The sequence below is a fragment of the Homo sapiens genome, chromosome 3, assembly GCF_000001405.40.
Source record: "Homo sapiens chromosome 3, GRCh38.p14 Primary Assembly".
Lineage (NCBI taxonomy): Eukaryota > Metazoa > Chordata > Mammalia > Primates > Hominidae > Homo > Homo sapiens.
In genome coordinates this window covers 143,051,064-143,064,073 of record NC_000003.12, presented here as the reverse complement: position 1 = coordinate 143,064,073, position 13,010 = coordinate 143,051,064, and the positions used below count along the sequence as shown (strand labels likewise).

The 13,010-nt window shown below is 34.1% G+C and overlaps 1 protein-coding gene across 4 annotated transcripts in view, besides 1 other annotated feature; it reads right to left on the bottom strand.

Annotated features, from left to right (window-relative positions):
• Positions 2,855–2,924: an enhancer, noted in NCBI's record as "active region_20647". NCBI's record gives its function as "activates an Ori minimal core promoter by ATAC-STARR-seq in GM12878 lymphoblastoid cells {active_cell/tissue: GM12878}" and the evidence as "EXISTENCE:reporter gene assay evidence [ECO:0000049][PMID:35858748]".
• The window catches only part of U2SURP (U2 snRNP associated SURP domain containing), a 59,156-nt gene continuing 49,494 nt past the window's right edge, over positions 3,349–13,010 (bottom strand). For all 4 annotated transcript variants that reach the window (NM_001320222.2, NM_001080415.2, NM_001320220.2 and 1 more), the window contains 3 exons: positions 10,280–10,398; positions 8,955–9,131; positions 3,349–7,762 (listed from right to left, as the gene is read on the bottom strand). In NM_001320222.2, coding sequence (NP_001307151.1) covers positions 7,624–7,762; positions 8,955–9,131; positions 10,280–10,398 — 435 coding nt within the window. In that variant the 3' untranslated portion in view covers positions 3,349–7,623. The remainder of the gene's footprint in view (positions 7,763–8,954; positions 9,132–10,279; positions 10,399–13,010) is intronic.

Here is a 13,010-nt window from a genome sequence, read left to right as displayed (position 1 = left end):
GCTCTGAAATATACAGTGGACAGTAATTCTTTACCTTAACACCAAACTGTTCTCTCATTCTTCATACATTATTAGTCATGGTTTTATTACATAATAGGCAAGATAAATAATACTTTTATTACAAAATACATGCAAATAAAGAATATTCTGAGTTTTTACAAGTTCCAGGTCATGTCAGTCATGAGAACAAACAAGCACAAAGATCAGTCCCTGCTTAAAGACTTTCTCTAACCTACCTAATATTTAAGGCAAATTACACATGCTTTCAGGGCAATCAATTCAGAATTAAAACAGTATTTTTAGATGTAAATGTCTCTTGAGAAATACTTGATATTTTTGCTTTGTGGAACTTACACATATATAGTATTTGGCACAGAATTAGACATGCTACGTATTTTTCTGGGGAGAACACATTCTTCAGATAAGATGTATCCAAAGTTGAGGATAAGCATCCTATGAAATATGTAAGCTATACATAATATGTAACTTTGAAATTTACAGTTTAAGTTCATGTTAGCTAAATGTTATTGTGATTAGAAAATATAAAATAGCTACATAGAATGTTTTTTGGCTTTTGATACCTTTCTACATCCTGTGAGAGAGACTGCTTACGTTTCTAGAAGGATATGACAGATCCTTTATTAAAATGTTAGCACGGCCAAAAGCCATCTGAAAAGCATTTTTCTAGAAGTTTTTAATAAACCCCTCACATCCAGTAGCTATTGCACAGTGCAATAAAACAAAATATGCTGAAACAAAAACAATTAGGTCATTTTGCATTGCTCTAAAGAAATACCCAAGGCTGGGCAAATTATAAACAAAGAGGTTTATTTTGGTTCACGGTTTTGCATGCTGTATGGGAAGCATGGTGCTGACATCTGCTTCTGGTGAGGGCCTCAGGAAGCTTAGTCATGGTGGAAGGTAAAGGGAGAACAGGCATATTGCATGGGAACAGCAGGAACAAGAGAGATGGGGGAGGTGCTACGCTCCCCCCAGATCTCATGTGAACTACCACACCAAGCCAATCATGAGGGATCTGCCTCAATGATCCAAACACCTCCCACCAGGCCCCACCTCCAACACTGGGAATATTACATTTCAACATGAGATTTGGAGGGAATAAACATCGAAACCATATCAATCATCTAATACCACCCTCATGTAATAAGAATATTTAGTGGCCTAGGTAGCCAAACTATATAGCAAGGTGCTTATTCTTTCCAAAGACAATGTTTCAGCTATTTGGAGGACGAAAGAGTATTTCTAATCAAAGTTGTGCTCTTCCAGATTTACATTTGTGCAGTTGTGAGAACTCCAAAGAACTTGATGTGTCCTGAGGACGTTACTACAAAGCGGTTAATTTCTGAATTGAATTTAAACTGTAATTTCCTTTCCAAATTCCGTATGGTTTGAACTCTACTCTAAAAGTAATTTTAGGGTACATTTCTTATTCTTGAATAATCTGAAAATACAAACTGTAACTTGCAAACATACACAAAACACAGGAGTTCAGTTGTACTCATAATACTAGCCCTCTTCTTAATTCTTACAGGATTGTTTTCTGTCCACCCATTTTGTGAAAACTGCATACTGCTGCTCTGCTCTGATAATTGTACAGGTTTTTCTTTTACTTTGAACTTTGACAAAGAATCCAGTGCTTCATCACACTTTATACTATTCTCCAGGCTTTTTCCACATATCCCCTATTTCAGCTGTTTACATTTAGATTTTCCTTTATGGGATTCCTCCTTCCAGGAACTTTGGTTAGGGGAATTCACAATAATAAATGACAACTAATAAAAAGTATATTTTAAAATCTATTTAATAGTTTTTCTCATAGGAGATCAAGAATTAAATGTCATCTAAAACACTGGGAAAGCAGATTATGAAGTGGTATTCCATATGCAATAAATATGCCAACATATCACCAACTTTATTTATAAAATCTGTTAACTGAATACAAATCAAGTATAAGGAAATCTTGTAAAGGTATCAGTGCTATGGAATTATACTGTTATTCTTTATCTTGTTTTAGTTATAAGATGTTCCCACCATTAGTTCTCAGGAATAATGAATATTTATCTAAGCACCACTGTATGACAACCCTGTGCCAGTGATATACATGTGATTTCATCCTTTCAATAACCATTCAAGGTTAATATCCCCTCCTTCTAGGTGATAAAAGGGAATAGCTGATACACAAATCCAAATATGACTTCACGGCCCAGGCCTTTCCTCTTCCTTCACCATTGTGCCATGCCACATCTCGTTTGAAAATCAAAAGTAAGTTATTTATTCTAAAACAGTTCGACACACTATGTTTCCTAAGGATGAGAGAAAATAACTTGAAAAAAAATTTAAAAAGCTATTTTTCCTTTCTCTGTGACAAAATGAATAATCAGTGAGTTTACTACATGTCAAAATTTTAAGTTTTCTTTTCATCGGGCAATACATAAAACTAAAAAAGCATTCAAGTATGGTCATCAATAGTACTAATCCACTAAAATATCAAAATCAGTTTGCTTCAAAAGTGTATTTTTTACCCCATGCTATGAAGTGTTGATATCAAAGTACATCATATGTAACCATTAAAGAGAACAGAGAGCACAAAAAGTAGTGAAGACGGTTAAAAAATAAAGAAAGTGGAGTAGTTGGCATATACACTTGGTATTACATGTTCTCTTTTGAAGTTTTTACTCAAAATAGAAAATACTAATGAACCATTTGGGCTAAATCATTTTCAAATTCCATAATATGGAAACTTAAAGAAAAAGTGGGCTTTGTAAAGGAAACAATATACATGCTATAATATGGATGAACCTCGAGGATATTATGCCAAGTGAAATAAAACAGTCGCAAAAAAAGACAAATACTGTATGATTTCACTTATATGTTGTATCTAGAGTAGTCAAATTCAGAAACAGAAAGTAGAATGATGATACTGAGAGACAGGGGAGGAAGAGGGAAATGAGTTGTTTAATGGGTACAGAGTTTCAATTTTGCAACACAAAAAAAGTTCTGGAAATTGCGTAATCATATGAGTATACCTAACACCACTTTGTTAAGAGGTAAATTTTGTTATGAGCATCTTCTCACAATTAAAATAACTAAATGTCATTTTTTAAAAGGACCCAATGATTTGTTAATGTGACAATGACACTGCAGGTATGTTTTAAAAACAAAGTATTTAGAGATACATGTAAGTTGTTATCTGCATGTTTATGGTATGTAAGGTTCACTGTACTATTTTACTTTTGTAGAATGTTTAAAATTTTCCTCAATTAAACAGAATAAAATAACTTTTAAAAAAGGAAACCAATAAGGAAATGAACTTTCCTAACCAAGAGAACCATCTAGCATGAAAACATATGATTATAGTTTAAACATGTAAAGTGTAACATTTTAGCCATAACTGATAAACATGTCACATCACTTATTTCACTTGAGAGAAAGCTGCTAAAAAACTAATTATTAACTGGGCTTGCATCGGAAAAACAATATGGAGAAAATTACATGGACAGTCTAAGTTTGCTATGAAAACAATGTACTTTTATTAATTAAAAGTCAAAAACAACAAAAGGGAAATTTCACAACCTTTGTTTGCAACTATATAATCTTTATGTAGAAAAACTATAAAGTGACAGTCTGATCTGGAAAGCAGCTCAACAATAAATCTAATCCTTACATTAAAAGTAAGTAAATTATAGAATCAGTTCACCCAAAAGAAATTGTCTTGCTGTAGAATATTTTAGCCCAACTGATTTCAACTATATTATTCTCATTTCTGACAAACTGTCTTTCCTGATATTTCAAATCACCAGAGATGTAACAGACAAGAACCCGTTGAAGTAAAAGAATAAAACACAAATACTCCAAGCACAATTACATGTGACATGATGAGTGCATTTAATCTACAATCTACAAAACTATACAAATTACCAATTATACATATAATCCATTTACATTGAAGCTCCATGAGGTGGTACTGAATAAACACTGAGGCATCAAATTTTCAACAATGGAACAAGGCTCACGGAACAGCAGCACATTCCCACCTTTTAGTCTAGCATCACAACACTTCCCCTGGGATTTGTACTTATTTATATATTATCTAAGTCCTAGGAAGTTGGTAACAAAAATTTTAAGTCAAAAGGATAATGAATTAAACACTCCCTAAAATCTATTCTAAAACATGCGTGTGAAATATGAAGAGATCAAGCACTTTGTAAATGTGAGATTTTACAGTCACGTGTTCCTTTAAACTTATACTAGTATCTTCACTAGTATCTGCACAATTTTCTGTAATTAGGCTTTTCACTAAAACTTAATAGAAGAGGAAAACAACAAAGAAAAAAACCTTATTTGTAAACTGTACAGTCTTAGAAAAGTGGTACTATTTATTTTTAAAACCAACTTTCTCTGCTAAAGAAATCACACTGTGTGGTCATCAGAACAGTTTAAGTCACTTTGGCAATACAGAGATTTATTTACCCTTATTTTGAATAACAATAATGATGATGATAAACTATTGTCACGGTCATATAATTTTTCAGAACTTACGCCACCATGGAGGCAAATGTGTACAGAATATTTCTAATAAACCTAAATTTAATCACAGTTAAAATTTCTCAAAAGTATTTTCAAGTGCTCAAGAATATTAAAGTTTGGGGGGAAATACCTAAGTCATAAATAAGCAAGTATTCCCTCCAAGATTCACTAATTGGGATAAAAGTCTCAGGGTAAGCCCACAAGAATGGTCTGCAATAAAGAAAAATCAGGTCTGTGTAGAGTAATTTCTGCCATCTTTAGCAGAAAAGCCAAAAACATTCTGAGCCAAATAAAAGCAAAGATCTTTTGATTCAGCGCCTTTTGTTGTGTTAGTTTTAATTTCTAACTTCTCAACATGTTATAGCTCAGAAATTCCCATATGCTTACTATCTGTAATAAGGAACTATAACGTTAAAGAAAAAATTCAGAGACGTGATCATTTTCCATCATAGGTCTGTCTCTCTTTGGTAAGAAACAGATCAAGACTTACTTATTTTCTCTCACCTACAGAAGAGAGGGGAGTTAAATGTCATTAACCTAGTAAACAATCCCTGTGTATAAACATTAAGTTGGAGGGTAAAGAGCCTAAGTCATGCCCTTTATAAGAACTGTGGAAAACAACTCTGGCACGTAGCTGTGGTAGAGGACAGTAAGTGTCCACAGATAGAACATGATCTTTCCTGCAACTGGAAGACCATGCTTATGAACATTCTAGTCAACCTATAGAAATTTTGCTCTGTAACTTGAGTGTCCTTCAGACAAGAAACATGAATAATAAGCTATTATAAAAATATGGTAGAATATCTTCCCCCTTATAAGTCACCAATTTCTGATCCCATTAAACTTTCATAGAATCCATGGGAGTATTAAGTAGGTTTACTCTAGGTAATTTGTCATGAAGTAAAACTGGAAATAACCTATCTAATAATACCATTTGCAATTCAAGAAAAAAAAATCCAATACAATCTAATATGTACATTAACAAACTTCACAGAATATATATTCTATCAGGCCTAAGAAATCCTCACCCACCCAACCAAAAGAAAGTCAGTTTCACCCACTGTAAGATAAACCATGACACTTGTATCTGGATCCAGAAAAAAAGAACTGCTAAACTCCAATGTAGTAGGAAAAATATTACAAATAAGCACCCAAAACTGACCTAAAATTTTCTACTCAATCCCGCAGGATGTCTTTTTTTGAAGAGAAATAAGCATCCCTTGCAACTTGACTGGAAAGATTATTACCTGACCAATTATTTCTAAGCCTATACTAGAAACCAGTGCAAGATGGAATGCCAAAATCACCACCAACTCGACACGACCGTTATTTTTGCAAAGAAAGGTAGTTATATAAAATTCCATTCTCCCAGGCAATGAGCAGGGGAGAAAAACATGTTACTTTTTAAATGGCTACATTTGTAGGTTTTTGAGTATCAGCACCAAATGTTCACTTTTAATTATTCTGAACAAATTTTTAGGAATTAATGTTTCCTAACAAAATGGACTAACAAAACAGTGAATAAGGAAATAACTTTCAAGCAATATTTGCATGCTGATAAGAACCATTAAGTAAAACAGTGATTGGCTCATTTCCAAAGCTACTGTAGGTGTGCACCGTTTGGAAATAGTGTATCTCACTGCTCAGCTAATATAGGAACTCTCCAAACCATGGGTGCACATCTTATTTTGTGACTAGGCAAGATTAAGTAAAACAAGTTGAAAAGATTTTTTTAAAAAGCAAGCTAAATCAAAATAATCCATTGTTAGAATAGTTTTCTACTTTCTCTTTTAGGGAGGAAAAAAAAAACCCATCAAACCAGTGTATGAAGTGCCTACATAAAAAACTGAAATCAAGATTCACAAATAATAGTGTCAGTTCAATTCTACATAACCCTTTATTATATTTATAGCAGTATTATGACCAACATTACACAAGTTTTATTTCTTCCTCATACCGTAGCAAATTTATTTTCATAATAGAGTTCAACTCTGCAAATGGTTTAAATCAACTTTTTGCACCTTGAATTTACAAACCATTAGATACGAAGTTTCCTGAAAAACATTTTATTTTTAAATTTTACTTAAAGCTATAACTAAACCCAAGTCTCTTGGGAGTGGGGGGGGACCAACTAAGCTGTTTAAACACAAACTTATAAAAAATATTCTGATGCCAGTGTTTGAAAGATAGCCTACAGAAGATTATAAAAGGTCAACGATCATACAAGAGAATTCTATGGCCAAACCTTGTTAGAAAATTTGTTTTACAAATAAACTTCTTTCATAATAGAAGAGGAAATGAAAAGATATTTAATTTCCCCCTAAAAGTAAGTAGTTGCTCAGAACATGGGTTGGATGTATGGAAATCATATTGCTTCTGTGAAAAAAATGTTTTAGCCAGGCATTCCACTAACAAAACGCCATGCCATATCTACCTAGTCTTTGATATCTGGGTATTAGTATTACCCAAGAGAAACTTATCAAAAGCAAATGGTTAGCAAACCACCAAATAGGAGTCTCAGGTCCCTTAATTTGGATAGTCATCTTAGTAAATATAAAACTTAAGCTACTTGAACACTGGGGCTTATAAAGTGCATCAGGTATAAGAAGCACAACAGTAGTGTGAAACTCAGTAGGACTTTAAGGGACTTAATATCACCGGTGGGGCAAAAAAACAACATTATAGTTTTCTGTTCAGATTTTATTTGAAATCTAATTCAAATTGTCAAAGCTACAAAAGGGGGGAAGACATCTGTATTATTTTTGCTAAGTCACAACATCCTAAAACAAAATACTACTACTGTCAGCAGATCCATTATACACATTTCTGATGAAATCCATTAGAACAATAAAAATTTCATCTTGAGAAATAGCCACAATGAAAGTAATTTACACAATATAAAACAATGACAGATCTACAGATGCAGTTGCTCATGAGTTTACACATGCATACACAAACAAACAAAAAACCCCAGGAATGCTCTTTCATTTGATTTTTTGTTTTTTTAAAAAACAGACCGTTCAGGCACAAAACAAATCGCATTTCCAATAAGTGACAGCATCTTAAAAATTTACGTCAGTGTTTGTTTTTCTTTGACTTTTTATGAGACCTGTGTGGAGATCTGGACTGGGATCTGGACTTCTTTCCTGATTTTTTAGGAGATCTAGACCGTGATCGCCTAGACCTTTTAGGTGTCCTTGAACCAGATGGTGATCTAAGGAAACAAACAAAAAAATCCCAATTGATAAAGTACTCATGTGATCAAAACTGTTTATCCTTAAACGATCGAAAATGATCTTTAACAGGGCACAGTGAAAAATCACTGCAATAAGACTATGAACTTCTAAAATTTAAACTCTATTGTACACACACACACACAGATTATTTTGTACTTACTATGCACTGCATCAATGATCATCAGTAGAGCGCTTGTTTATAAAGACAGATTTCTGTGCCTTATCACTGCTCTACTGAATCAAAATCTCTGGAGGATGGAACTAAGAATTTGCATTTTTAACAAGCTCCATAAGTGACTGATAACCCCCAAATTTGAACCTTTAATCTACAAGATAAAGTTCAAAGTTGCACCTAAGATCATGCACAAAATTTAAAAAACACAGCAGCTTTGAAGTTTATCATCCTGAAGCAAACAACTACTGCAGTATCATTCAAGGGCATCATTTAAGACATAATTTTGTAAGTGCTGTTCATGAAGGATTACTTAAACCAATAAAGATACATGTACATATACATACATATATAACACATACATACATATATATACAGGTGCCATTTAGAAAAGGAGAAAGGTATCTATTCTGTAAAGATTTTACTAAAAATAGTTACAATAATAAAGTATTAGCATACAAAGCAGTTTTAGCTCTCAGGAAAATTCCTCTATGTATCACCAGATAAATAAAACATTTCTGAACCATTTTTCTGGAACTAAAGGAAAAAAAAGTATACAAAATACTAAAATACATACTGAAAAAATGGTATTCATGATATGTATTTCCAAAAATATCTACCCAAGAACTTGCTAATAATATTGCTATGGGGGAAAAATGTGTGTTTCTTTCAGCTTTGACAAAAATCAAATAATATTCTATAGAAACTAAAGAACAGAACGAAAAGTAAAGCAGCTAACCCTATTCCACAGAAAACATTGGATATGATGTTTAAAATTCTTGGCTGGTCCTCACTTGTTGGAAGCCTTCACTTCAGTCATGAAAGAGATTGGGATGAGGAGGTGGGGAGGAATAACCAAAAATGAAAGTGTATCTCTTTGGTTTTCTAAAATCCTTAAAAAAAAAAAAAAATGTATGCCAACCAAATTATTTTCAAAAGCTGATGAAATGACAAGGAAACTGGTATCTGAAATATTAGCAAAAATGACTTGCATTTACCTTTTGGCTTTTTTGCTAACATCTCTAGGAGAATCTTTGTGAGATGACCTGGACCGTGAGCTCTCTTTATGAGATCTTTCTGAACGCTCTGATCGCTCCGATTTTGGTGATGGGGATTTCACTCGTCTACCACTGCTACTGCGAGATGGGCTGGGGGATGTACTGTGTCGCCTCTTCCTATGGAACAAAGCCCCCAAAACATTCCATAAATGAGCAAAGGATCGGGTATTCATTTTCCTTTACTAAATTAGCTATTAATTGCTACCAGCTTACTCTTTTATTCTAACCATGTAATGTTACTTTTAACAATACTCAAAGTCCTTTGTAACAAGAACAAATAAGTGTTAAAGATAGGTTGTCAAGAGACAACAACTGAATTCAACTAAATTGGATTTTCTCTTTGCAATAAGAGGTTATTGAAACAACTGGCAAAATCTAATTAAGGTCTCTGGATTAAATATCAGTTTTTTAAAATGTTGAATGTGGTTAAGAGAATGGGGCATCATGTTGGCAAATTATTCTTAAATGGTTGGAGGTGGGACAGAAGAGGAAGAATAAAGCAAAAGTAGAAATACTTTAACATTTGGGTAATGTGGGTGAAGGGTAACTATCAATTATACTATTCTTGCAACTTTCCTATAAATCTAAAACTATGTCAAAATAGTAATAAAAGTCAAAAAAGTGACAGACTTTTAACCAATTGGCATAACTTGTTATTTGTAACTATCTGTAGCGTGACTAAGCTAGACTTTTATTTGCAATGGCTTGGTCTTTTTATTAGGAAAACCTCAGTTCAGTTAAGGGAAACAATTTTCTTTACTCAATCAGAGATTTAGGAACCGTGAGAGTAAGACATAAAAACTGAAAGAGAAATGCTTTTGATTAGAATGAAGACTTAAGGTGAGCTTTGGCCTATGTATACAACCTCCTTTCAAGATAAGACTAAGACTCAAGTTTACAAGTAGCAGCCTCAGCACAGATACTGGAAAATATGCTTAAATTGGATGCAACAAGGAAAATCTAGCAAGTTGTTTTGTTACTTAAACCTCAGGTTTGATATCTAATACTGTAATTGAATCCTTGCACTGAACTAAGGCTAAGGATACCATATAAACCATGTGAAGGGATGATGCCCTGGTTAACTAAGTCAAGTGCCAACTAAATGCCCCATTTCTCCGCTATTTCTGCCTTCTGCAAGCAGGACCCAAACAAGTTTATCATGAACAAACACTTCCAGTTTGCGGGCATCAATGATGAAAGTATTATAAAACACCACTGCAAATCTTGAAACCAGTATATGCAATTAAATATGAGAAATGTTATACCTTTCCTTCCTTGTCGGAGTACACTCATCTTTTTCCTTCTTGTCTTTGGAGCGAGATTCCAATTTTTCTTTATCTTTCTTGTCTCTTTCTCGTTCTCTTTCTAACTCTTTCTCTTTCTCCTGTTATTTTTTATAGAAAATATTAAGTTGTTTAAAAATATCAATGTGGGTTAATCTCATTTATAGAACAATATCTTCTCTTACAGGAAATAATTTTTTAAATTACTACTTAAGGTACAATACTATTAAAAAAAAAAAAATCTACCCCTTCAGGGAAACTAGTCATTTCTTTTGCTTATACTGAATAAAACTAATCCTAGCAACAGCAGCTATACATTTACTGAGTGCTTACCACAGGCCAAACAATATACTAAACAGCTTTCCACAGACCATTTCATGTAATCATTTAAAGCATCCCTAAGAAAATTACTATTATCCTCATTCTAGAGATGAAAATTGAGACTCAGAAAGATTAAGTACCATGTGCATGGTCACACAGGAGAGTCAGGTCAGAATTTGAGACCAAGCTCTAGAGTCAGAGCTCTTCCCCCACTGTCCCACCTGCCGAAAAATTCCAATCAGAAAAAGCTAACAATGTACTGCCCTTTCCATAAGTTACAATAAAATAGTCAGTAAAAGTGATCCCTCTAACTATAAACAAATTGATTTAATCAAAAAGAGCTCTTACCAAAGAAAAAAGGCTAGAAAAGGAAAATGGTTATTCACAATAATCTTCCATCGAAGTTTTATTAGTGGGAAACAAGTACCAATTACACTGCAAATTTTAAATCCTAAATACAAACTGACTACATGACTCTACAATCAACCAAAAAAAAAAAAAAAAACCAACACATTTGCTTATCCCCAGATGCTACAACTGCCACTTCTCATTTGAAATTCTGATTTTGGTATATAATTAAAGGAGTGGCTACAGACAATAAATCCACACAACTAACTTAGTTCTTCACTAAATGGAATTTAATTTCTCTACGATTCATATGCATCAAGCAAGCTATGTGATAGCTGATTCTTCTGATTTCTAAAAGGTGAAAAGAACCTATACCAGATGTTGGCAAACACTTTTTGTACAGAGCCAGACAGTAAATGCTCTCTGCTTTGTGGGCCACATACAGTCTCTGCCACAACTACTCAACTCTGCCACAGCAGAGTGAAAGCCACCCTACAAAATACCTAAGTCAAGGTGCATGGCTGTGTTCTAATACAACTATTTACAGAATCAGGCAAGGACCATATTCCTTCTCTCCAATTATAATCAAAGGAGACTAAAGTGGTAACACAAATATTATGTATTTTGTGCTTGCTACCATCAGAACAGTGAGCATCTCAAGGTGTAATCTCCTATGGGGTATAGGTAAGTAGCATCTTATTATTATTTTTTTAGACAGAGTTTTCCACTCTTGTTGCCCAGGCTAGAGTGTAATAGCACGATCTCAGCTCACGACAACCTCCGCCTCCCAGGTTCAAGTGATTCTCCTGCCTCAGCCTCCTGAGTAGCTAGGATTACAGGCATGTGCCACCACACCCAGATAATTTTGTATTTTTAGTAGAGACGGGGTTTATCCATGCTGGTCAGGCTGGTCTTGAACTCCTGACCTCAGGTGATTTGCCTGAGGTGATTGCCCGGCCTCCCGAAGTGCTGGGATTACAGGCGTGAGCAACTGCGCCCAGCCATAAGTAGCATCTTTTACAAAATCTCATTTATCTTTTTTCCAAATATATAGAGGGCAACTTTTAAACAGTGGTGCTAAGCAGACTGACTCCCTCTGGTGATCTGTAGGATGCATTCTCCTGATTGATAATGAAAATGAAAATGATCTCCTAATTGAGATGCCTATTTTATAGGAACCGTATAGCTAAAATACTTATAATGAAGAGTAACAGTAATAATATTAGCTATTATCTAACTCATAATCTTACAAAATTGGGAGTATCAACCCAGTTTCAGAGAAAAAGCAGGCTGCAGTGACTTGCCTAGGAGTACACAGCAGAGAGCAGTACTAGCATTCCACAGGTCTGAGCAGCACCACAGTTGCTTTACCAGACTGCTCCCCAACACGTTTTGTACATTAACAGCTTTATAGTGATTGTAAGTTCCCTTTTTATGGCTCTTTCCTATTTCACTTTCTATATAATCTCATTATTATTGGTTTTTCTTTTTTTTTTTTTTTTTTTGCAACGACAGTCTCAACAAAATTCCTGAGGTTCCTGGTTCTAAAATTCTCTGCACATGCCTATAAATTTTGTGATGCACGAGAATATAAAGTCCCTCAAACACTCAGAGCTCACCAATGAGGTATTCTACCACTTGCTGTCCCTCCCTGGAAACCATGAGAAATGAAAATAAACTTCTCAACACCAGAACTTCCCAAACCCTGCCTCCATCTTTTTCTTTCTGTACTACCTCTCAGGGTTGTTGGCGTCTCACTGTCACAAAATGTGACTTGTCCTGAAGGGTTTTCCAGTTTTGAAAGCATGCTCTTAGCAGAATTAATCTTCTTGTCCACAGGTAATACTCAGAATAAAATAGTGTGCTGCTGCCTTTAAGCTCCTTTCCAATCAAAATACTTTTAAAATATCAAATTTCAAATGTTTCTGATTGCCCTACTAGTATTCAAAATTTATACAAAGGATATAATTTGAAATCATCTTTAGGTATACCAGTATTCTAGGAAGTCAAATAAATAACTTCAAAATATGTGTATTATTGGGTA